This window comes from Homo sapiens, chromosome 8 (assembly GCF_000001405.40).
Source record: "Homo sapiens chromosome 8, GRCh38.p14 Primary Assembly".
Lineage (NCBI taxonomy): Eukaryota > Metazoa > Chordata > Mammalia > Primates > Hominidae > Homo > Homo sapiens.
In genome coordinates, this window is record NC_000008.11 from 129,664,018 (window position 1) to 129,690,574 (window position 26,557).

The following is a 26,557-nucleotide window of genomic DNA, read 5'->3' on the forward strand; positions in this document are numbered from 1 at the left end:
AATCATAGAGGACTGGAGTTTATATAAAGAAAAAAGGATGACAATACTGTAGGCCTCTCCATTCAAACCTAAAAATAAACCTAACATGGTCATATCCCCTTCTTTAGATCTTCTTTGATGTTTGCATATCTTTTACGTTCTTCTAACCTTCAACTGTTAGGTGTAGGAGGTGAATTCCTCAGAACACTTCTGTAAGATCAGAAGCCTGCATGGGTGGGACTGTGTCTTGTTTGTCTCTGCATTCTCAGGCATGAAGCACTTGGCCTTGGGCATACTAGCTAGTCAAGAATTTGAGGGCTGTTAAGCACTTCTTGGATAGTTTCTACATTCCTGTAACATAGCACAGTGCCTGCAACACAAGAGGTGCCAAATCAGTGTCTGTTGGGCTAGTTGATTGAATTGAACTGAATTGTCAAAATGGTGGTATCTATACTTTGGACTTCATTGCACGCTGTTCCTTCAAGCTCCTTCATGAAAACTAAGTGTAGTCTTCCTCACATTCCATATCTTGACTAGTCATCCAAAGTCAGTCAATGTTATCCCTGCGATGTTCACTGGAACCATGAAAGGTGGTTCCCAGTTTCTCCTTTTTCAAGATGAAAAGACAGAGGCAAAAGAGGTTGACTGTGTTTCCCTAGCCCATACAGACACTAAGTTACAGATACGGGTTTGGAACAATAATCTGTATGGATGTAGAACCTCATATTGTCCATTTTGCCTCACTATTTTCTCATTCCAGAACACACAAATGGACATATGCATGTGAACATACATATAGTACCCAATTCCCTTTTGTCTGCAAGAAATAAGGGTCAAAAGACATCCACAACTAGAGTCAAAACCAGTCACAATGTCCTGTGTTCCTTCATTGACTAAGTTCAGTTGACAAGTATTTATTGAGAACCACCATGTGCCCAGAACTGTACTAGGTGCTGGGGAATTAGCAGTGAACAAGACAGTTAAGTAGTGGAGGGAGATAGAGCAGGTGTCAGTAAATTTTTCTGTAAAGGGCCAGATACTAAATATTTTAGGCTTTGCAGTCCAGATCGTCTCTGTCACCACTATTCAGTAATGCCCTTATAGAGCCAAAGCAGCCATTGACAATGCATAAACAAACAGGCCAGGCCATTTTCCAATATAACTTTATTTATGGAACCAGGCAGGCTTGATTTGACCCACAGTAGTCTGCAAACCCCTGAAATAGAAAATAAACAGGGAAATAAATGGAAATAGACAAAAGCATAGAGATATAGGTAAGTTCTATGAAAAAAATAAATAAAGCAGTGTAACAGGATAGAGACAGAATGAGAGGCAACTTTAGATAGGGTAGCAAGGCAGGAGATGATATTTGAGATGAGATCAGAAAACTGATGAACCAGCCAGGCCAAGATCCTGAGAAAGAGTTTTCCAAGTAGCAAGAAGACCTAGAACAAAGAGCCTAAGGCGAAGTGTGTGTGAGGAACAGAAGGAAGTCCAGGATGTCAGGAATAGGAGTGATAGGAGATCAAGTCAAAGAGTTGACAGGACCAGATCACAACAGGCCTTAAAGGCACAGGGAGGAGATGGGAGAAAGCATTTAAAGGTTTTTAGCAGCACTGTGGCATGCTTTAATTTATAAGTTTGAAAATGTTAATTCCAGCTCCTGTATGGTGAATGGGCACTAGAGACAAAAGAGTAAAAGAAGAAAAACCAGAAGGGGACTTGCATAGAAAGGTAGCAGAGCAGAGAGTAAGAAGTGGTTGGATTCCAGAGAGGTTCTGGAGGTGCTGGCACCACCAAAACTTTCTGGGGACTGCATGCAGAGTAAAGACAATGGAGGATTCCAGCGTGGGTTCATTTGGTTTCACATATTGACACAGAACAATTGCTGGGCATTGGAGAGACTTAGGTCAAAGGGAAGTGGTGCAGGTGAAAAACACTATTGGGTTGGGTGCTCTGAAGGTTGACCCTAACTGACCTACAAGGTGGCTTTACTCAGCACAATCTGATAAGAGATCACTGCAGAGCCTACCAAGTAATGCCTATTGTATCATATAGGTTTCTGCAACATGGTAACCAGACAAGGAAGAACTATTTTAAAAGTATTCCAATTTCTTATCACCAAAACACCAAACTGGGGAAGCAAAAATACATGGCCCAGCTCAGCAGGGACCGATCTGATGAAAGGACAAAACCTCAAATATTCTAGTGCCTTCTCCACCAGACATTCCTCTTTGGGCTCTGAAGGACCACATATTTAGATGTTAAAAGTGTTTCTGAGGAATGTGAATATCAACCATTCCCTGGGGGAGGGGGTGCAAAGAACCATGACCGGGGAGACAGTCTGAGGCTTTCTGAGGAAATCAGTCAGGTACTCTAACGCTCTAAACGGCTGAAGGCCAGGCTCATTCTCCTGCAAGAAGCTTAAAGCCTTTCTCTCAAAGACAGGCATACTTTCTGTTCTCCTCATTATCAGAAATGCTGTCAGGCACATAGTAAGAGTTATGTAATAGGAAGCAATACTTTCCGGCCATTTCTCCATCCTCCTGTTATATAATAGTCATGCCAAGATGAAGTGGCCAACGTCTAAGCCACAGAGATGCAACCCTGTCAAGGAAATTTATAGTTTATACTTCCTTTTCTTTTTTTTAGCAAGTACCCCACCACCACCCCTCTTGGTTCCCCTTCCCTCGTGCCTTCCCAAGATGCCAGTTCCCAAGTTGACTTTTTTTCTCATTAGGTAGACCTCTTCCATTCATGAAAAAAGAGAGAAAGTCTACTTTAATATACTGACTCACTTATTCATGCAACCAATCAGTTGACAACTATTTAATAGCCTACCATGTAAAAGATTCTGCAACAAGGTGGAAAGATAATATGCATTAAACAATGGATTTGGACCTATCGATGAGGTGACCTGGGAAAAAAGACTCAACCTTTCTGAACTGCGTCTCTAACAGTCTAAGAAGGCCAACCTAATGGGGTTTGGGGGAGCATTCGAGATAATGGAAGCAAAGTGCCTCTCTATAGCTATTATTGTTCTTCTTAATATTTTCATGCATTTGGCACCAGGCTTCCCAAAATGACAAAGACAAAGTCTCGGCTCTTAGAAAGCTCAAATCAGTCAGGCAGATGCTAAGATAAAAAAAGGAAAGCAACAGTTGTCATTTGGTGTAAAGGGTACATTGCTAAAAGTAAGAAGAGGGTGCCATGGAAAAAATGATAAGCAGTACCCAACTCAACCAGGTCACTCTTATATCACATGGCAGCATCTCATGTCTGGTGTGCAGTTGTAGGGTCCAAGAAATAAGCAACCTTATAGCTGAATCAAAAAGAATTCAGGGCCAGGCATGGTGACTCACATCTATAATCCCAGCACTTTGGGAGGCTGAGGCAGGTGGATCAGTTGAGGTCAGGAGTTAGAGACCAGCCTGGCTAATATGGTAAAACCTCGTCTCTACTAAAAATACAAAAATTATCTGGGTGTGGTGGCACACACTTGTTATCCCAGCTACTGAGGAGGCTGAGGCAGAAGAATTGCTTGAACCCAGAAGGGAGAGGTTGCAGTGAGCCAAGATCATGCCACTATACTCCAGCCTGGGTGACAGACAAAGACTCTGTCTCAAAAAAAAAAAAAAAAAAAAAAAAGGAAGTCAGGACCCCAGCTCAGCTCAGGAGAAATTTAATACAGTATATACAAACTGTGACTCTCAGGAATTCAAAGCACCTTTGAAGTTCAAAATTAATTAATACAACTTACCATATCAACAGAATAAAGAGAAAAAACACAACCAACTCTACTGATACAGAAAAAGCATTTGACAAATGTCAAAACCTCCTCATGATAAAAAAAGAAGTCAACAAACTGGAAATAAAAGGAAATTCATCAAGCAGATAAAGAACATCTACGAAAAACCTACTCTAACATCATACATAATAAGACTAAGTGTTTAATGTGGAAAAATAAAAATCCCTTAACATCTACCTAACACTATTCACAAAAATTAACTTGAAATGAATTATATACCTAAATATAACCACTAAAATTATAAAGAACATAGGAGAGAGAATCTGTGGCATTGATTGGGTTAGGCAAAGATAGCTTATGCGCAAGAAAATGAAGCATAAAGAAAAACCTAATACGTTAGATTCCATTAATATTTAAAAACTTCCATATTTCAAAGACATCATTGAGAAAATACCTGGAAAATCCTCGAAGAAAACTTCACAACACATATATCTGATGATGAATTTGTATTCAGAATATAGAAGGAAATTGCAACTCAGTAATAAGCAAAATAGCTAAACCAAAAAAAGAACAAAACATTTGAATAAGCATTTCACAAAGTCTACAAATGGCCAATAAGTATTTTTTAATGCCCAAAAGTATTAGTTATCATGGAAAAGCAAATTATGATCACAATAAGATACTACTACACATCTGATATGGTTTGGCTGTGTCCCCACCCAAATCTTATCTTGAATTGTAGCTCCCATAATTCCCACATGTTGAAGGAAGGACCTGATGGGAGATCATTCAATCATGGGGGTGGCCCCCCCATACTGTTCTCATGAGAGTGAGTAAGTCTCATGAGATCTGATGGTTTTATAAGGGATTTCCCCTTTCACTTGGCTCTCATTCTCTCTCTTGTCTGCTGCCATGTAAGACGTGCCTTTTGCTTTCCACCATAACTGTGAGGCCTTCCCAGCCACATGGAACTGTGAGTCCATTAAACCTCTTTTTCTTTATAAATTGCCCAGTTTCGGGTATGTCTTTATCAGCAGCATGAGAACAGACTAATACAGTAAATTGGTACCAGGTAGTGGGGCACTGTTGTAAAGATACCTAAAAATGTGGAAGCGACTTTGGAACTGGGTAACAGGCAGAGGGGTTGGAACAGTCTCAAGGGCTCAGAAGACAGGAAGATGTGGGAAAGTTTGGAACTTCCTAGAGACTTGTATGGTTTTGACCAAAATGCTGATAATGATATGGACAATTAAATCCAGGCTGAGGTGGTCTCACATGGAGATGAGGAACTTGTTGGGAACTGGAATAAAGGTGACTCTTGCTATGTTTTAGCAGAGAGACTAGTGGACTTTTATCCCTGCCCTAGAGATTTGTGAAACTTTGAACTTGAGGGAGATGATTTAGAGTATCTGGCAGAAGAAATTTCTAAGCAGCAAAGCATTCAAGAGGTGACTTGGGTGCTGTTAAAGGCAACCAGTTTTAGAAGGGAAACACAGCAGAAAGGTTTGGAAAATTTGCAGCCCGATGATGTGATAGAAAAGAAAAAGCTATTTTCTGAGGAGAAATTCAAGCCAGCTGCAGAAATTTGCATACGTAACAAGGAGCCAAATGTTAATCACCAAGACAATGGGGAAAATATCTCAACAGCATGTCAGAGACCTATGTGGAAATCCCTCCCATTACAGGGCTGGAGGCCTAGGAGGAAAAAATGGTTTCATGGGTCAGGCCCAGGGTCCCCCTGCTGTGTGCAGCCCAGGGACTTGATGCCCTGCATCCCAGCCACTCTAGCCATGGCTAAAAGGAGCCATGATACAACTCAGGCCATGGCTTCAGATGGTGCAAGGCCCAAGCCTTGGCAGTTTCCATGTGGTGTTGAGCCTGCAGGTGCACAGAAGTCAAGAACTGGGGTTTGGGAACCTCCGCCTAGATTTCAGAGGATGTATGGAATTGCCTGGATGTCCAAGCAGAAGTTTGCCCCAGGGTCAGAGCCCTCATGGAGAACCTCTGCTAGGGCAATGTGGAAGGGAAATGTGGGGTTGAAGCCCCCACACAGAGTGCCCAGTGGAGCTCTGAGAAGAGGGCCACAATCCTCCAGACCCCAGAATGGTAGATCCACTGCAGCATGTGCTGCAGACACTCAACACCAGCCCGTGAAGGAAGCTGGGAGGCAGGCTGTATCTTGCAAAGCCACAGGCATGGAGCATGGAGCTGCCCAAGGATGTAAACACCTACCTCTTGCATCAGTGTGCCCTGGATATGAGACATGGAGTCAAAGGAGATCATTTTGGAACTTTAAGATTTGACTGCCCCACTGGATTTCAGACTTGCACGAAGGCTTTAGCCCTTTCATTTTGGCCCATTTCTCCCATTTGGAATGGATGTATTTATCCAATGCCTGTACCCTCCATTGTACTTGGGAAGTAACTAACTTGCTCTTCATTTTACAGGCTTATAGGTGGAAGGGACTTGTCTTGTCTCAGATGAGACTTTGGACCGTGGACTTCTGAGTTAATGCTGAAATGAGTTAGGACTTTGGGGGACTGATGGAAAGGCATGATTGGTTTTGAAATGTGAAGACATGAGATTTAGGAGGGGCTGGGGCAGAATGACATGGTTTGGCTCTGTGTCCCCACCCAAATCTCATCTTGAATTGTAGCTCCCATAATTCCCACATGTTGTGGGAGGGACCAGTTGGGAGATAATTGAATCATGGGGACAGTTCCTCCCTACTGTTCTCGTGGTAGTGAATAAGTCTCATGAGATCTGACGGTTTTATAAGGGATTTCCCTTTTCACTTGGCTCTCATTCTTTCTTGCCTGCTGCCACGTAAGATGTGCCTTTTGCCTTCCACCAAGATTATGAGGCCTTCCCAGCCACATGGAACTATGAGTCCATTAAACCCCTTTTACTTTATAAATTACCCAGTCTTGGGTATGTATTTATCAGCAGCATGAAAATGGACTAATACAACATCCATTAGAACGTCTAAAATTGGGCTAGGCATGGTGGTGCATGCCTGTAGTCCCAGCTTCTTGGGAGGCTGTAGTAGGAGTTCAAGGCTGCAGTGAGATATGATTACTTCACTATACTCCAGCCTGGGTGACAGAGCAAGAATCCATCTCTTTAAAAAAAAAATTTATCTAAAATTAACAAGGCTGACAATATGAGTGCTGGCAAGGAAGTAACTGATATTCTTGCACATTGTTGGTGAGAATGTAAAATGATACAAACAGTTTGGAGAACTGCTTGGCACTTTCTTGTAAAGCTAAACATACACTTATCATATAATCTGGCAGTTTCATCATATAATCTAGCAGTTTTATTCTTAGATATTTACCTAAGAAAAATGAAAACATGTCCACACAAAGACTTCTGCCTTGGAGTTAATATCACCTCTATTTATAATAGGCAAAAACTGAAAAGAACCCAAATGTCCATCAATACATGAATGAATCAACACATAGCAATAACAAGGAATAAACTATTGCAACAAAATGGAATAATCTCCAAAACAGTATTCTAAGCAAGAGAAGCCAAACATGAAAGAATTTGTACTGTATGATTTTATTAATATGAATTGCCAACAAAGATAGATCTAATCTAAGGTGACAGAAAACAGATCAGCCATTGCCTAGGGCTGGAATTGAGTAGGAAGGGGAATAAGGAAATATTTTACAGTATGGAAATGTTCTATATCTCAGTTGTCAAAATGGTTTTATGGGCATATATATTTTTCAAAACTCATTGAACTGTACCTTTTAAAATAGAAGCATTTTCTTGCTTTAAAACTTTCCCTCAATAAAGTCAATTTAAAATAAAAAGAAGGGAAAGAAAGCTAGGTTTGGTTAAGCACTGAGCACAGGGTCTACAAATTTCCAATCCCTTAAGAGTTAGGGAGAACTGTAAGATCAGCACAGAAGCCCAAAACTGGTTGAAAGTTCAGCTACAAAAGAGGTTCTCTAAACAGTTCGATGAATTTAAACTGAGATGTAATACTGAGAAGTTATATGATGTCTGTGTAAACCAGTCTATTGGATGGCACACTCAAAAGACAAATGGAAGAGAGTTTCATGGAGGAAGTGTTTGTAAAGCTGTAGCCAAAGTTAGGAGAACCAGAAAAGGATGGTGTAGAACCCAAGGACAAGCAGCAGTGGGGAGCCATTGCCATATTGAGGCCTGAGCAGGGACAGTTACCAAATCTAGTGAAAGTAAAATCCTGGGGGAGAACCTCCAACAGGAGCTATAGACTTAGGTGGTGAAAAGAGCTCTGGCCAACCTGGCCCAGCAAGGAATAGGCAAGTGGACCAGGTACCCTGACTTCTCTCTCCTTCTCTCATCCTCTGATTCACATGTTCCTTCCATTGGCCAAACCCAACTAGAAACCAGAGAACAAAAAAGCCCATGCAATACAGGTGCTAGAGGTCAGTTTCATTGGGCAGAGGAGGTGGAGAAGGGTAGAAAATGGATCTGGAGGGCAAACTATGATTATCCAACACAAGATCCAAGTTGTGCTTCAGAATTCAGTGAATCAAGCACATGTTTATCATATTCTTGTTTTATGCCCATCTTAGTACTTGGCTCTGCAGGAGATATTTTTAATGGAATAAAAGGATAATACTTTGTTATATAAAAATGCTTTTTGATCCCACGTTTATTGGATTCTCACAAAAGCCTCATGAGAAAGGAAGAGCAGGGATTATTACAGATCAAGAAAGGAACTCTCACGAGGAGAAATGTTTTGCCCAAGGTAACAGTGCCAACAGCTGTCCTGATGCCCGCACGGCTATCCAATCTTATCTACTGACTGAGCAGACCACAAGTGAAGAACTGAGTGTCCCTCTAGTCACTTTGCTGGTCTGCTTGGGAACAAAGGAGACATTCTGGAAAATGGACAGAACTGTCAAATATCTAAATATACTCATTCCACCCTCTGCGCTGTGATGGCCAAAATGCTTATTCTAAATTGTAGATCTGACTCCTTCACTCCCCTAACGTCCTTCAAAGTTCCCTTACCATTTCAGGCCCTCCATGATGTGACCTCTGCTATCATCTCCAGATTTATCTACCATGCTCCCTGGAAGCCTAGCTGAAGCCATAACTCACTCTCCAGATTGCTTATATCTCACAGCCCCTTTCTTGTCTTCAATCCCTTGTTCTCTCTGCTTTCTCAGGCTCCAAAGACTCCTGACCCATAGAACGCTTCTGCTTTGCCTCTTGACAGCAGCTATCTTTTCAGACAGAAGTATAAGTAATACTTCATTAGTCTAATTTTATCAAGAAAAAGATATTTCTGATGAATGATTTCTTTCAAACTAAAATAAAAACTTTTAAGTATAATTAAATATCTTGGCTATTTTGGAAGGAAAAGTGTCTCACCTCTCTTATCTTTGTAAACTGAGATATTAAGACATAATTTTAGTCTTGTTCAGTGACCAAGGGTCATTATTAATTACACTGCAAAAGCCATGGGAACTACTGAGCTATCATACACTATTGTCCTTGCACAGAATGCCAGAAGCTTGGCACCTACTGAGTCTTCTCTACTTCTTGCTAGTTGTTGTCTGCCAGGCTCTCTGGATTTTATGCAGCTTGCCTGAGCAAAACCTTGCAGCCCCTTCCTCTTCACACTTTTAAAATTTTCTGTATCTAATCTGCTATGTCTTAGGAAACCAGATTGCCAAGTGAGGACTGTTTCTAAGAATAAATAAGTTCTATTCCAAAGCCAGAAACACGTTGCTGTATTCCATGGGATTTTTTTTTCCTTAGAGAAAGAGTCTCCCTGTGTTGTTCAGGCTGGTCTTGAACTCCCGGGTCCAAGCGATCCTCCCACCTCACCCTCCTGAGTAGCTGGGATTACAGGCTCAAGCCACCACACACCTGGCCCTCCACTGACTTTTTGACATTGACACCGTCATCGTTAAGTCTTTTTTTTTGCCCATTTCCTGGTTCTCCATGTTTGTCACAAAGCTGACAAGTGGCCTTTGAATAAGGAACGTCTTATCAACATCCCAGTACATTGCTGGGAGTGATCTTCAGCGCTGGCTCATTAAACTGTTCAGACTAATGTTCACATCTGGTCTCACACCTCAGGGGCACTTTGCAGAAGGTTACTCTCTCCTTTTCTGCCTTCTTAGCAAAACTGAATTATTTCAGGACAGAAATATGTTGAGGTAGGCACAATCTTGTCATCCTGCAAAAAGGAGCCATTCTTAATCAGGGTCATCTCAGCTTCTGTAAGTTTCCAGGGTTTTCTCTCATGGACAACTCAAAAAGGACATCCATTGGTCTGCATCCCCCCACAGGCCAGGGTGTGTATATGCTGAAGAATATAAAAGTATCCTCCCTGGAAAAAGCATAATTGACCCTTCAGGAAAAATTATAAGGGGAATGTGTTTGGGACTAGTAATGATGAAGGGAGGGAGGAGATCAATTTTTTATTGTTTTTTAATTTATTTATTTATTTATTTATTTATTTTTGAGACGGAGTCTCACTCTGTCGCCCAGGCTGGAGTGCAGTGGTGCAATCTCGGCTCACTGCAAGCTCCGCCTCCCGGGTTCATGCCATTCTCCTGCCTCAGCCTCCGGAGTAGCTGGGACTACAGGCGCCCACCACCACGCCTGGCTAATTTTTTGTATTTTTAGTAGAGACAGGGTTTCACCGTGTTAGCCAGGACGGTCTCGATCTCCTGACCTCGTAATCCGCCCGCCTCAGCCTCCCAAAGTGCTGGGATTACAGGCGTGAGCCACCGCACCCAGCCGGAAATCAATTTTTTTCAGCATTCACTGTGTGTTAGACTCTCCAATCTCAGTTTCAGCTTCACTCTGAATCTTTCCTGAATGCAATCTGCAATTCTTCCATTTGCAATTAATTCTTCCTCTCATTTGCCCTCCCTGTCATCTGTAAACCCAAACCACTAGGATGCCTTCTTAAATTTATGTATTCAATACTCTGACTCTCCCACTAGTCTCTGAGCCCCTTTGAAGGATAAGAATTGGATCTTGGTCATCATTGCATTCCCAGAACCAGCACAGTGCCAACATACATAGATGTTTAATTAATGTTTAAATTCTGGAAAGAAGCATGCTTTCGTAAAACTTAAGCTGCCTCCTTGTTTCGTTTACTTGGTCTAAGCAGCCTGGATGAGTTAGTAACTCGGAGCGCAGATCTTCTGGTTACTATTGTCTTCAAGCCCTTCTTCTATCTTCTGATTTTTAAGAAAATCTTTCCTGGAATGATTATCATGAGCTACTATAATTCAATGTCAATGAATTAGGTTTGAATGCCTGAAAGACTCTTGAAATTTTATAGGGGACAGAAAACAGAAGAACCTAACTTTTATTTCATCTCCTCTGTTTACAAGCCTTGTGACCTCAGACAAATAGCTTGAATTCTCAGAATCCTAGGGGTTTGTTTCACTGTAAAATAGAGATAATTATATCTTCCCTAACCTTACAGAATTGAGAGGATCTTATTAGCTAACAAGTGCTAAAGCCATTTGTGATAACTAAAATTTTATATAGCTACAAAGGATTATCACTCTATAAATCATGGGTAAAGCTAAACAAATCAATAATTTGCCCAAGGGTATGGAAAATGGCAAAATGAGATTCTTGAACCAAGTCTTCATCTCTATCATACTGCTGTCTCACCTACAGCCCCTGTGGGGGTAGAAGGGAATGAAAAGGAGAAAAGATGGTACACAGCAGAGAGGCTCTGAATCTCACTGTTTTGCCTTATCTCATAACTTTGCCCCCATCTGCCCCACTCTCCAGTTAACTTCTCAAAGAATCATGCCATGCAACCAAATGGACACAAAGCTACCATGCACAAGGACCATCTCTTCTTCCAGGATAATGGGCACCAGGCCAGGATGGAGAGACCAAAGCCAGTACATATTTGCATGGTCCATTCACCCTTCATTATGACGAACTCTTCTCTCAAGGGTCAAGATGTGAGCATTCATCTTTTTGGGTTCTTCAACTATTAGTACTTGGACTCTCCACAGGTCATATATCATGGCACTGAAGGCAGCAGGTACAGACAAAAGTTGTCACTTGTATTGATATGGTGTGAAGAGGATGATTAATGGAAGTCACACATGACCGCCCAGCTTCTAACTTACCCAAGCTCACTGGAAGTGCTGACTTCGTTATTCTTCATGAGCCACCTTTCCCACCCCGTTCCCCACTGCTGCTTTCAATAATAACATCAGCTTTAGGAGTCTTATTTTGATGGAAGGGAGGGAAAAAGTCATCACCCAAACCATGCCAGTGTGTCTGACAAGCCTGCATGGGTGACTTTCTATTCTCTCATTTCTGCGGCTTTTGTTGAATTTGAAATTCATTCACTCATTCAACAAATATTTAGGATTTCCTACTCTCAGTGCTTGGGGATACAGCAGTAAGTAAAACAGACAAAAATCCATGCCCTGGTGAACCTTACATTCTTGTAATAGAAGACAGGTGTTTCTAAGTAAATTGTAAAGTATGCGACAGGGTGTCAAGTGTGATGGAGAACACAGAGCAGAGAATCGGGGAAGTACCAGGGTAAGGGATTTGTTGCAATTTTAATCAGAGCAGTCAAAGGAAGCCTCATTGATCAGGTGACGTTTGAGCAAAGCTTGAAAGAGGTAAAAGGATTAGCCGAGCAGCTATCTGAAAGAAGAGAACTCAAAAGATGGGAAATGACCATTGCAAAAGCCTGAAGGTGGAAACAAGTCCAAATTGCTTGAAGAATAGCAACAAAGCAAGTGTGGCAGGAGAAGCAAGCCTGAGGAATGTAAAAGGGTGGGTGAGGTCATAGAGGAAAAGAGGGGCTGGATCACAGAGGACCTTGTATATCATTATCATGTCACCAACTTTTTTTCTGTATAACATAGGAAGTCATTGGAAGGTTTTGATCTAGTTTGTGCTATAAAAGATCCACCCTGGCTGTCATTTGAGAATACATGACAGATTGTAAGGGAGAGGCAGGGAGACCATGGCAGTCTTCCAGGTGAGCAATCAGGGTGACTTTGAACAGGTGTTAATGTGGAGGGCTGAGAAATGGCCAAATACTGGATGTGTCATAGTTCACTGAAGCCAACATGCCTCTGCCTGTGGGCCACATCCCTAATTTGGATATATTATTATAAAAGGTGACATAATCTCTATCTTGGTATTGAGGAACTATGGTATTTCAAAGTTGAACTAAAGGGTTTGCTGGCAGAACAGAAGTGAGGGTGAGAGATAGGATGACTCAAGGACGCCTACAGAGTTTGACATCTGAGCAACCAAGGATGGAGCTGCCCTCAGCTGGGATGGGGAAGTGCTGGGAGGAACCAATCAGAAAGAGTGGGTGAGGCTTAGGCCAGAGTACAGTTTAAGACATGTTAAGTTTCCATGTCTATTAAAAATATAAGCGAACAGGCCGGGCACGGTGGCTCACGCCTGTAATCTCAACGCTTTGGAAGGCCGAGGCAGGAGGATCACGAGGTCAGGAGATCGAGACCATCCTGGCTAACACGGTGAAACCCCATCTCTACTAAAAACACAAAACATTAGCTGGGTGTGGTGGCGAGTGCCTGTAGTCCCAGCTACTCAGGAGACTGAGGCAGGAGAATGGTGTGAACCAGGAGGCGGAGCTTGCAGTGAGCCGAGATCGTACCACTGCCCTCCAGCCTGGGCGACAGAGTGAGACTCCATCTCAAAAAATATATATATATATATAATATATATATAATAAAATATATATATAATGTATATAATATATACTATATATAGTATATAGTATATACATAAAATATAAATATTATATATATTATTATATAATATATATAATAAAATAGATATATAATATATAATATATATTATATATAATATATATAATAAAATAGATATAATATATATTATATATAATAGATATAATATATTTTTATAATATATAATATATATGATATTATATATGTGTTATATATAATATTATATATATATATATATGAGTGAAGAAGCCCTATAGGTACTTGAATATGGGCATTCAGGCAAGAAGTTTGGGACAGATATAAATTTGAGAGTCATAAGATGTAAATAATAATTGACACTCAAAGACTGAATGAGATCACCAAGGGAAGGAATTTAGATAAAGAAAAGAGAATGCGGTGTAGAGCCCTGGGTCTTCCCATGTAAGAGGTCTGAGAGGAAAAAAGAAACCAGCAAAGGAGACAGAGCAGAAGGTACCAGTGAGATAAGATAAAATAACACAAATAATTGAAAATGGCCAAGAGTTCTGGGCTGATTTGGAAAGAAGTAAAAAACAACCTACTTACAAGCTTCTGAAATAAATATCATAAAAATGGCTCCTATCTATGCTCAGTTAATGACTGAGCAGCCAGAATGGGGTTAATGTGGAAATGACCATAACAAAGAGATGGTAAAGAGTGGAAAGAATTTAAGATAAAAAGATAAGGGGGGCAGGGTGCAGTGGCTCATGCCTGTAATTCCAGTGCTTTAAGAGGCTGAGGTAGAAGGATTGCTTGAGGCCAGGAGTTTGAGGCCAGCTTGGGCAACATAGCAAGATCCTGTCTCTATAAAAAAATACAAAATATTAGCCAGATCTGCTGGTGTGTGCCTGTAGTGCCAGCTACTTGGGCAGCTGATGCTGGAGTATCACTTGAGCCCAGGAGTTAGAGGCTGCAGCGAGCTATGATTGCCACTGCACTCTATCCAGCCTGGGTGACAGAGTAAGACCCTGTCTCAAAAATAATAATAATAATAATAATAATAATTAAAGATAAGGGAATCATATAAATGATTGTACTATTTATTTATATATGTAATGTGTTTCTTTACAAGCTGCCTTGTTCCAGGAAATAGTTGAAGTGGTTTGTGAGAAATTGGCTTGTTTGCATCAGATATTTTCAACTTTCCAAAGCAATTTTACCTTCCATTCAAATGTACTCCCTATCGCCCATTCGGCACTTTCTGTGCCACATTCATTCATTCATTCATTTGTGCCACCAATACTTATTCACAGCACAGTAAGCCAGTGTTCCTGGCAGGGTGTCCTGGGCCAGCTTGAAGACACATGGCTCCAACCCGCTTTTCAAGCTTGAAGCCAACCCAGGATAAAAGACTAAGTATTTCACAACTAATTTGTCGGGCACTCACGAACCCTATTTTTAAATCTGAAAAAAGCAGACACACAATGGATAGGTAGCCAGGCTAGCAGACGCCAAAACCTCCCATGCTAAATCAGGGTCCACATGGCCACTAACTCACTTCTCCTTTCAGAGGTACGCAGGGAAAGTAGGAAGTCACCCAACAGTAATGACAACCAACGTGCTCAATGCCTTTCAGGTTGAAACTCCATGTTCTCATCTTGCCTTTACGTTAAACAATACAGCAGTGTTAGTGGGTGAGCACAGCTATACCCCCAGTCTTGGATGAGGAAGCAGAGGCTCTAGGGAGGTGAGGTGGCTTCCCCAGGGAATAGCCAGAAGGCAGCTCAGCTGGAACTCAAGCCCAGGTCTCCAAATCTTTATAGCCAGCAGTGGGTTGGGTGCTTGGGGGAAGCTCCAAACGGATAAACGGTAAAAGGCCTGACACGAAAATAAGAGCAACTATCATTAGAGAAAGCAGGCAATTGAGGGGGCCAGGAAACAGCTGGAAGGAGACAAGGCTCAGAGCAGTTCCAGAGAGCAGGCACTTGGGGACAGATAGGGAGGAGCATAGCAAGTCCCTAAGGGGGTGCGGCAGGGAGCCCAAACCATGTACTGCTGCCAAGAGAGGGGTCAAGGGAGCTTCTCAGTTTGCAGGGCACAGCAGAAAGAACCCAACAGACCTGGATACTAGGCTGGCCAAACTTCTCGGCTTACCCAAGACTGAAGTGGTTGCTGCGATAAGGAACTTTCCATCTTAAAACCAGCAAAGCCCCAGCCAAGCCAGGATGAGTTGATCACCCTAGTTAGAATTCCAGCCCTGTCACTTCCTAGCTATGTAAACCTTGGGCAAACTACCTCCCCACTTCTGATCCTAATCACCACTAAAGTAGGGGTAACAATGTGACCCTGGCAGGTTGATCATGAGATTTAAGTGAAAAAAAACTCTAACATAACCATCTGGCACTTGGAAGGCATTCAATACATGGCAGACATTATTATTACTACGAGGTTATTAAAATGAGATTTTCAACTGTACTTTTCTCACCATTCTTGAAGTTGAAATGCAGTCTTCGGCATTCTCCCAGAAATGATTCTCAGGAGTTGGGTTTGCAGCCAGCTGTTATGGATCTTCATAAACACCAGAAACTTTGAGAAGCTGAGGCAACACTGTACAAGGATTAAGTGAAAACCCAGCTGTGAGCTCCTGGGTCCTGTTGCTACTTCTTGGAAGTTTCTATAACTTGTGAGATTGACATATCCTAGATAAACTTGGCTGCTGAATTGGTGTGTGCATCACACCAGGTTGACCCTGAGAGTAACAGTGAAGCCTTTCCTCATGACCTCCCAGACACCAAGCACTAGGTGCTCTTAACCTTCCCTGTTTATCCCAGACTATGCCCACGCCCATTGCCCACCCAGCCATCCCCATCACATTCCCCAAGGGGGCTGAAAGGAGTCATTGACTAATCTGGTAACATCACAACTGACCCCAGCATACAAAATCTAAGTATCCCCTCTATGAACATCATTTTAATTTCCAGGAGTACTTGATGCATTAATCATAGCTCTATTATAAGCAGAAAATTCAGGCTCATGCTCTCTCTTGCTCTCTGTCTCTCTCTCTCTTTCTGTTAAAGTCCTTACTTTAAGACTCTGCATTATACTGTAAGCTATATGCTCTTTGAGCATCAACTGTCACTGTACTTATTACACTGTAGTGTCATAATCTGTCTATGTGTCCTGAACTCAACAGAACTCTTGAAAGACAAAAACCATGTGTCATCCATGGAAACAATATAGTATAGCTATTAAGAATACCACGTCCCAACTGTTAATGGGTACAGGTTTATTTTGGGGGGATGAGGCATGTTATGAGACATGTTCTAAAATTGACTGTGATGTTTGCTCATCTCTGTCAAATATACTAAAAACCATTGAATTATACACTATAAATAGGCAAATTATGGAGTACATGACTTATCACTCAGTAAAGCTGTTTTGAAAAAGAAAAAGGATGCTACTGCCTCCCTTTAAATTCTGGCTTCACTACTTACTGTAGCAAGTTACATAATTTCTCTGTGCCTCAGTTTCTTCATCTGTAAACTGGGTTAAAGCAATACCTACCTCAAAGGGACACTAACTAAGAGGAATTAAATTGGCAATTATTTTTAAAGCCATTAACAACAGTTTCTGGAACATATAGAGCAGTATGCAAGGATAGTTATTTATTTTTCACCTCTATTCTCAGAACATGGTTTAGTGCCTGACACATACTGAGTAAATGATAAAGATTTTTAAAATGTATAACCCAGCTTATAAGTACCTACAGGAACTCAAATATGGGGCACGTTAGTTGCTATGCCTTACTCAATAGAAAGAGGACTGAACTAAGTTGCCAAATGACTTGGGTTTGAGGCTGGGTACAGTGGCTCACACCTGTAATCCCAGCATTTTAGGAGGCCAAGGCAGGCAGATCACTTGAGGTCAGGAGTTCGAGATCAGCCTGGCCAACATAGTAAAACTCCGTCTCTACTAAAAATACAGAAATTAGCCAGGCATGGTGCCTGTAATCCCAGCTACTCAGGAGGCTGAGGCAGGAGAATTACTTGAACCCGGGAGACGGAGGTTACAAGATCATACCACTGCACTCCAACCTGGGTGGCAGAGCAAGGCTCCATCAATACATACATACATACATACATACATACATACATGACTTGGGTTTGAGTTCTGATCACCACATTAGAGCAGGCTGACTTGAAAAAACCACTTTCCCATTTACCCTGAGACTCTGCATCCTCATCTGCCGAAACTGACAATTTTGCTTCTACCGAACTGAAAGGGTAGTTTCAAAGATGAAATGAATCAATGTGTATGAAAGCTCTTTTAAAACCATCATGTGCAAATATAAATTCCTCCGAGAAATTGGTCTTGTCCTAAAGATGGCCCGGGTTGCCCTCTTACCCTAAAAGTCTCCTTATTCACTCCCAGCCCGCCTCACTCGTTCATCATTGCAGGAAAATGTGCCAAAGATCAAAAACAGGTGAGATCCGACCCCAGGGACAGAGCAAAGAAGTAACTGGACTGTAGGCACCAGCTGGTCCTGTTCTGCCCTGCCCTCGTAGAACTGTGAACAGCTAAGAAGTGCTGTTCCTTTAAACTTTGCCCCTTTGTGGCTCACAGATGAGTAGATTCAGGCAGCAGCTGTCAGCTCTGCAGGCAGCAGAGAATCTTTCCAGAGCAGCATTCCCAGCAGTGTCAGGATGGGAGGATGAAATTAGGTGAGCCAAGCAACCTGAAAGTCCTCATTCAAAAGCCTCTACTGCCATCTACTGCCTCTCTGAAGAACTCATTGGCAAAAAGCCAAGAAAAGACTGCAATGGAGGTGGGGTAGAGAGAAGCCTTAGCAATAGACTGAATTGTCTGGATCAATTAGTCCACCCTTCATTCTCCAGCTGGGGAAAATGAGACCCAAAGAGGTAAAGAGGCTTGTCTGAAGTCACTCTGCTAGCCCACGGCAGCCCATCATCTCTTGGATACACATATTAGCTCTGCCCCACAACACACTGTTTCTGTCTGAATATATAAACTATCAATAAAGCTGGCTTAGAGCAAAGAGGTTTGTGTGGTTGTTATTATTGAGACAGGGTCTCACTATGTTGACGAGGCTGGTCTTGAACTCCTGGCCTCAAGTGATCCTCCAGCATCAGCCTCCCAAAGTGTTGGGGTGACAGGCGTAAGCCACCACACCCAGCCAGAGGAAAGAGCTTCTGCCAGCTATCCTTTTCCTCGCCATTTTTTGGTTCCACCTTCTCTGCTTTGCACAAGAAGCCCCAGACTGGACCTGTTGTCTTATCCATCTAGAACCCAGTGTCTCATACTGTCCAGCAGTCCCTTTCAGGGAGAAAACATTGAGCCGTTCACTTGAAAGCATTTGCTTTCTTTTTTTTTTTTTTTAAAGAACATGAAGAATAGCACAAATCCTGTTTAGTAGACACTCCACACCCCCATACTACAGAAAGCAAACTAAGGCTCAGGGACATCAAAGAATTGGCTTCTAATGTGCCTGACATTAGGATCACCTGGGTATCTTTTACAACCTCCAACGCTCAGGCCACACCCAGACCTATTGAATCAGAATCTCTGGGTTAGAAAACAGGCATCAGTAGTTTTTGAAGCTCTCCCACACCCAGGTGATTCCAACATTTAGGTAGGCTTGGGAACCACTGACTTACGTTCTCCTAATTAGTAGGTAAAATGGCAGGGACCCAAGTCTTTCAACTTCCAGGCCACTGAAGAAAAGTGATGTCCATATTTTAGCTGTTTGCATCACCCTTTGAAGATTTTTGCCACTTCCACACACTAACTATATTAATATGTGAAGTGACCCCATTTTTTTACTTAAAGCAATGTATTTTTAAAAGAACACTGTTACTCTCGGGAATGGAAAAACAATCTCTTGTCACAAAACAAAAATCAGCCTTTAAAGACACACACTAAAACCCAAAAGTTAAAATGAAAATGTACATCCATGTATGAAATAAAGTTATCTCACTTTCTAATTTGGGGGAGCCATTACAAAGAAAGATACCCTCTCTGCTCCTGATTAGACTGAAAGAAATGTGGCAAAAACACATTTTGGGACAGAGAGTATCTGTGCTCACTCCGCGCTTCTCCATGTGTACGCACCATTTTCTCTCTCTGTCATTCTGTCTCTCTCTAGCCTCGCTACTAAGCTCGGGAGGAACTCCCATCAGCTTTCCCTGTGTTGTAAGACCTAAGCCCAGGACTGCGGGTTCTGGCCAAATTGTAATTGTGACAGCATCCTGCCCAGGACTTACCCGACAGCGGAGAACTGTCACTCATTACCAAGAGCAACAGACGTTCTTTCGGCATTGTCCTGGCCCTCTCTTGATAGGCTGGCCCGCGTGTTGGGGTGGAACCGTGGCACCACCAGCTCTTTGTGACCCCACCTGTGACTGCAGCCCAACTCCATGACCCCATTTCCGCTTCCTACAGGTGAGTGTCATCACGCTGTTTGCTCAGAACACAGCTGTTTGGCAAGGGCACGCAGTAGATGTGGAGTCCGGGCCCCAACTGCTCTGGGCAGTGTCCTTTTCAATGCCACGGACCCACTGGTGGCTGACTGGGGCTGTCTTCATTGACAAAAAAAAAAAGTTAGTTAACAATTACTCCTGAAAACATCATTTGTGCCTGTTTTTAAATTATATGGTAATACATCTTTTGAACAACCATTTGAAAGAAAGCTGGTTATTCCATTTTTTCCCACTTAGAATCATCACCTTTACTCCTTTAAGAGAAAGAACTTTTTAAAACTGATTACCACATTAATATATGGTCAATTTAGATATTTAAGTAAAAGAAGAAAAGCAATAAGAAAAAAATTGAAAGCACTTGTAGTCCCACCACCTATAGAAGACCACTGTTAACCATATGCAATCATTCTTGTCTCTTTATTGTGTACTTTGTGCATTTTTATACAAATTAAGTTCATACAAAACATACTACTTGTATCATTTGTCTAACATAGCAATATATTACTATCATCTTTCTATCATTCAATGTTCCTAAATGAAATCATTTATAAGGAATGTAGAATATTGTTTTCAAATGACTAAGATGAAGAGAGTGAACGAATTAATGTATTGAGGACCCTAAAAGTTAGATATTATAATGCCCATTTTAAAGATGTGAAAATGAAGGTAAGTGAGCAGCCAGTTAACTGTAGAACAGAGATGCCCACCAGGTCTGCGTGGTTTCAGGCCTAAACTCCTTCTCCCTTACCCGTGTTTCCTCCGCATGCCTTGTCATAAGACTCACCTTGGAAATCTGCATTATCAACATGTAATACATTTTATTATAAACTGAATTCCAATTGAGAACCTACAAAAAGCTACCTGAGGTCAGATCATGATTCAGAAGAAACAAGTTAACAAGATTGTGCCTCTGATGGAGCCCAGACATGGTCAGATATGGTTTCTCACAACCTTACATGTCAAGAGGAAAGAATTCCAGACTAGATGTCAGGAGATCCGGGTTGTATTCTCACCTCCTCCAGTCACCAGCCAAAAAGTCATGGCCACATCATTCAATTTATCTGGGCCTCAGTTTTCTAATCTATATATTGGGATAACACAACCTTCCCTGTCAAGCTGAATAGATTCTAAATAGCAAAGGAAATAATGAAGCAATATACAAACATAAGAGACCTTTATGAATCCTACTACAGATCCATCAGCGGTGAATTTTCCAGCCCTCTAAAACACATCAAAGAATTGTAAACAGAGAAGGAAACTCTGAGCCCAACTAATTTTAGAGACAGAGAGACTGACTTCCTGAGAAGGTAGGCAGCTTGCCCAAAGATTCAGAGTGAGTTAGGAACCCAGCTAACACTAGAAGCCAGTGTCTGGATTCACACAGGAATATTCCTTTTATAAGACCACCTTTACGGTGATAAATGTCCCAGACGCGTTCACATAAACACGTTGACAGCAATTCAGTTTAGTTCCGTTTATTTCAGTTAAGTAAAGATAAGCTGAGCATTTGTTTGCCATGTACAATGACCTCTTCAGTCAAGGAATTCCAGCTCTTGTTTTTGTCTTAACTTCTTTCAACTTTGAGGGTTTCTTTGCATGTTCCTTACCTAACAAGACCAGCCTGAAAAGAGTAGAAAAAAACATAAAGAAACTTGGAGTCTGAATTTTCCACATGCTGGGAGCTCTCACACCCAATTCCAGATACAGCACTCTCCTGAATGTGACCTGAAGTGGTTTCCTCAATTGATCACATCCCAGGAATCTGGAGAGCTTCCAGGGCAGGGAAAATTAGTTACAGAGTCACAGAGTGGTGCGGCCTGTCACATGAAAGTCACTTCCAGCTTGGAACGGATTGCACATTCCTGCCTTCTGAGTGGTGTTTCAGATGACTGGGATCTGGCCTGTCTGCAGACAGGCCCCAAAGCAGCAGAAGGAAGCCAGCGGGCAGGGGCATTCCAACACCGTTCCCGAGACCCGCAGTCACAGGAAAGGAGAACTTCCTGAGGCTCCTCCAAGCCTTGCCTCAACTTAATGGTGTTTGAGAAAAACATCAAGTTTCCATTTACCTCCATTTTGAAACACTGAAAGCATTTGTCATTAAATAGCATGATGACTCTCCTGCCTCAACTCAGAGCTTTGTCAAACTGCTCACATGGCATAAACAAGGATGATGGGGTTTCCTACACATATATCAGAACTTCTAAATGCTTCTTATATGCCAAGTACCATTATATACCATGCCTTGGCTCATCTAATCCTTACAGACAACCTCAGGAGAGAGGTGCTCTATATCACTACCACAGCCAAGGAACCTGGGGCTCAGGATGGTTAAGTAACTTGTACAAGGTCAAAAATTGGCAAATGACAATGCACGAACTTAACACAGATCTGTCTGACTCCAAATCCCAGGTCTACACTGGCTGGATAAATATGAGGCAGAGGCCACATGTAGTAGCTCACGCCTGTAATCCCAGCACCTTGGAAGGCCGAGGCGAGTGGCTAACCTGAGGTCAGGAGTTCAAGACTAGCTTGGCCAACATGGTGAAACCCCGTCTCTACTAAAAATACAAAAACTAGCTGAACGTGGTGGTGCATGCCTGTAATCCCAGCTACTTGGGAGACTGAGACAGGAGAATTGCTTGAACCCGGGAGGCGGAGGTTGCAGTGAGCCAAGATCGCACCATTGCACTCCAGCCTGGGCGACAAAAGCGAAACTCCATCTCAGTAAAAAAATAGGTATATATGAGGCAGAATGACTTTCAAATAATACACAATGGTTTCAGAATCTGGCCTCTGTTTTGTTGATTGCAAGGCCCTGTCATATTTCCAAGTCACCTATTGCTGGGTTTCACAGCTTTAATGGTTTGAAAAGTCTTCCTTATGTCAAAATGTTTCAACAGGCTTCGTTCCCGCCCTCTGCACCCCACAGTCCTCTTCCTTCCCAAACTCTCCTCTGAGAAGTCTGTCTCATCCCCCATTCCCATGAAATACATCTGCTGACATCACAAAGGGATTCTTGTCTAACTTCCATCTCTCTAATTGAAGTTTAAGCAAAATGTTTCTTGACCTAATCCAAGTAAAAGAGCATGATTGTCCTCTATTTCATGTTATTCTCACAGTTACAATATGTGCTTACATCTGCTGGTGCAAAATATGATTAACTTTTTTTTTCTAAAACCCTAGGGCTAGGAGGAGCTTGGAAATTCTATCTTTTACTTCCCCTTGCCTTCAGACCGATCCCTGTATGTCAACAAAACATGAAAACACCCTGTGAAATCCATTAGTAGCCTCACTTTATATACTAGGAAATCGAGGCAGGGTGATGGATCTGAAGTCCCTCAAGCAGATTGTGGCTAGAGCAAGAAGGGAAGCATGGACCTGGGTCTCTCAGAGGAATCCCTGTCTTCCCATACAGCCTTTTTCCATAGCATCTATGCACTAACTATAAGCTATCGACCCTATAAAGGTCCACGGACATATGAGAACATTATCTTCTTCCAGGCATTCAGTTTCATTTATCCGACATTTCCTGCACTATCCTAAAGATATAGAGGCAGGTAGATTAATTCACTATGCCCTAGAAGTCCTGGTCAAGGTCTCAGAATCAAGAACTACCTCTCTAACAGACAGGCATTGAGCACCCTCTGTAGGCAAGGCAGAGTCTTGCAAGCTGGCACCAATGATTGTCCTGCATCTGCCTGGTCCACATACTCCCTGGACGTCTGTGTGACAGGCTCTGTAGAAGACAAGCATAAAGCAGACCTGAGGGTGAGTCCCAGCCCAGCTCTGCCACTCACCAGCGGTGTGGCCATGGGCAGGTTACCTCCATGGACTAGACCTGGGCTTTCTCATCTTTAAGTTGGTGTTAATAACAAGTTGGGGTTAAATGCTGTCCCTCACTCAATACCTGTGTCCACATCTTAATCCTTAGGACCTCTGAACGTGACCATATTTGATAAAAAGGTCTTGGCAGATGTAATTATGTAAAGGTTCTTGAGATGAGATCATCCTATATTATCTAGGTTGTCTCTAAATCCAGTGACAAATGTCCTTATGACCGCAGAAAGACAGACACCAGGAGAAGAAGAAAAGTCCACGCAAAGAAAGATGAAGGTAGAGGTAGGAGTTATCCAGCCACAAGCCACAGAATGCCTGGAACCTCCCTAAGCTGAAAGAGGCTAAGACAAAGTCCCCTCTAGAGCCATCAGAGTGAGTGTGGCCCTGCCAGCACCTTGAGTTTGTACTCTGGCCTCCAGGACTCTAAGCAAAAAAATTTCTGGGGGATTTTTTAAGCCATGAAGCTTTGTGGTCATTTGTTAAAACAGCCCTAGGAAACTAGTATCCACCTATTTCATGGTATGTTAAGCATGGAACCTATTCCAGAGTAAGTACTTCATCATATTATTGGTGTTATTCTTGCCCTTGCCATGCTCCAAGTTAACTTAAGACCCCTTTTATTCTGACGATACCTCCTGGAGACCACCCACCCATCCAAAGCTCCAGAATCAAGGTTTTAGTATTTTGATTTGGGGTTGCCTATTTGTTAGGAGGAGGGGCTGCACATACCTATTTCCTATTTTTCAAAATAATAGCCCCAAATTTTGATTCAAGTGAAGCTGGATAGACCCTGAAGGGTGTATTTGTTAAAAATTTCACAGCTCATTCTGACACAAAACTGGTACTGATATTCAACCAATGCACACTGACCAGCATCCTCTCTGATTTGTCTGGGACTTGGTCCTTTGGTGAAATATTTGCCCTCTCTCCGCACACCAGCACTGCTCTCCCATCACCACTGACCTGGGGAAAATCAGCCAAGCTGACTGGTAGGCCCAGAACACAAAGCTGGGGACAAAGCTAGTCCAGAGGGCTTAAAATGTGTTGGGGAAGCCAGGTTTGCATGAACATGTCCCGGGGAACAGAACAGGCATGGCAGCATGGAATGACAGGAAGGACCTGGGCACAGGCCCCTGGTGGCCCAAACTCCTCCATACAGGACTGTTCTTTTTATCTGTTGTATCAACTGGGAATATGCATACAATTCTTTTTGGAAAAAAAAGTTCTAAAGCATTCTGATGATTTTTTAAATAATTAAAAATTTAAAACCACTGATAAGACATACTTATTTTCTAGGCAAGAAACTGGGTTCCAAAGAGATTAAGTGACATGCCCAGGATCACACAGTGAGGAACTGATGGCCAAGACCAGAATCTTGAACTCTGGGTCTTATCCAGGGCCCGTCAACTCCACCAGTAGCAGCCTCAGCCACCAGCCCCACCACTGAGGCCTCAAAGCACTGATTTCTCAGGCTCCAGTGCCTCTCTCTAGGTGCAGTAGCCCCCACATCCCTCAGAAGGTCCATGCCTGGCAGGGAAGAGGATGCCTGGGCAATGCTGTCAGCCTCTCCTTTGGGAATGGCCTTGGTCTCGGTCTGCACCAAGGCAGCCCAGTTTCTAGGCCATTGCTGCCAGAGGCGGTGTCGTTGCTTGGGAAATCTTCCTGCTGATCAGAACTTCCTCTCCACTGTACCTTTTTCCCTCCTTAGAGCCAACATCCAGGCCTTATCTCAGATGAGGAAATGTTTAGGGCACAGGACCGTTGAGATATTTCTCAGAACACAAATTACGAGGCACATGTTTTCACAGAGAAGAAAATAAGGAGAAGACACACAGTGATCACCATGCTGGTTCTGAGAACAAGCCCTTATCTGCTCTGACCCAGCTCTGGACTCACAGGCTGGTGTCAGCCTCACAACTGGTCAATGAGGCAGCCAGGAAAAGTCCAAAGCTTTAGGTGGGGGAGTCCATCGCCCAAAGGCAAAGGTGCAAAAAATAAACACTTAAGAGAGAGCTGCAGCCTCAAAGCCCTGGGCTGTACCAGGCCGACATACCACAGCAAAAAGCCTATGAAGTCCTACAAAATGTAAGCACCTCACCAAGCTGCTAGCATGGAGGGATTGCACATTAAAACTCTGGTCACGTTACAAATGTCTGTGCAGGGTCTTCCCGCCAGGAAACCCCAATGCAGTGAGGAGGATACTATGCATGTTTAAAAAACTAAGCAGTCATAAGATTACAGTAATCATTCCAAGCAGGACAAAAAGAAAGAAAAGATGAGGTGATACAAAGTACTACATGGTCAATGAATGACCAGATAAATGATGGAATCAATAATTACTAGAAGAGTTCAGAGGGAAAAGTTCAGGTAGGAAGGACTAGCTTGGCTTAATAATATCTATCATTCATTAAATACCTACTATCTGCCAGAATTTGAGAATTTTTCTTTCAATGACTTCACAAGGTCTGTGTTAAGTATCTGCACTTCACCAAGGGGAAGGCTGAAATGTGGAGAAGCCAGGTGACCTCCCACAGTAACTCAGCTGTAGGAACCAGGGTGAGTTCTGTCTCGTTCTCCTGAACAATTACCTGAGTTTCCTTAGCCATAGAGGTCCTGAGAAATTGCTTGAGTTTCCTTAGCAATAGAGGACAAGGAGAGCTTGGATAAAGCCAAAAGGAAAGAGAGGGATCATTGCAGGCAGGTGAAAGGAGCAGCTGAAATCACAGAGGCAGGAAAGTCAAAAGCACATGTGCGGCTGTTAACAGAGATGAATTTAGCTAGGGTGGAGGTTTCTGGAA

The 26,557-nt window shown here is 42.5% G+C and overlaps 1 long non-coding RNA gene across 1 annotated transcript in view, besides 3 other annotated features; it reads right to left on the minus strand.

The window, feature by feature from the left end:
- The window catches only part of CCDC26 (CCDC26 long non-coding RNA), a 328,546-nt gene extending 312,324 nt beyond the window's left edge, over nt 1-16,222 (minus strand). The window contains exon 1 of the long non-coding RNA NR_130917.1: nt 15,911-16,222. This is a non-coding gene — a long non-coding RNA (CCDC26 long non-coding RNA). The remainder of the gene's footprint in view (nt 1-15,910) is intronic.
- Nucleotides 12,964-13,053: a silencer, noted in NCBI's record as "silent region_19540". NCBI's record gives its function as "represses an Ori minimal core promoter by ATAC-STARR-seq in GM12878 lymphoblastoid cells {active_cell/tissue: GM12878}" and the evidence as "EXISTENCE:reporter gene assay evidence [ECO:0000049][PMID:35858748]".
- Nucleotides 24,343-26,555: an enhancer, noted in NCBI's record as "fragment used in the MYC e6 reporter construct". NCBI's record gives its function as "activates a MYC promoter by reporter assays in K562 erythroleukemia cells {active_cell/tissue: K562}" and the evidence as "EXISTENCE:reporter gene assay evidence [ECO:0000049][PMID:27708057]".
- Nucleotides 25,343-25,677: a transcriptional cis regulatory region, noted in NCBI's record as "e6 or intergenic|chr8:130701605-130702105 region (GRCh37/hg19 assembly coordinates) targeted for CRISPR interference". NCBI's record gives its function as "positively regulates CCDC26, MYC and PVT1 gene expression in K562 erythroleukemia cells {active_cell/tissue: K562}" and the evidence as "EXISTENCE:mutant phenotype evidence [ECO:0000015][PMID:31784727]".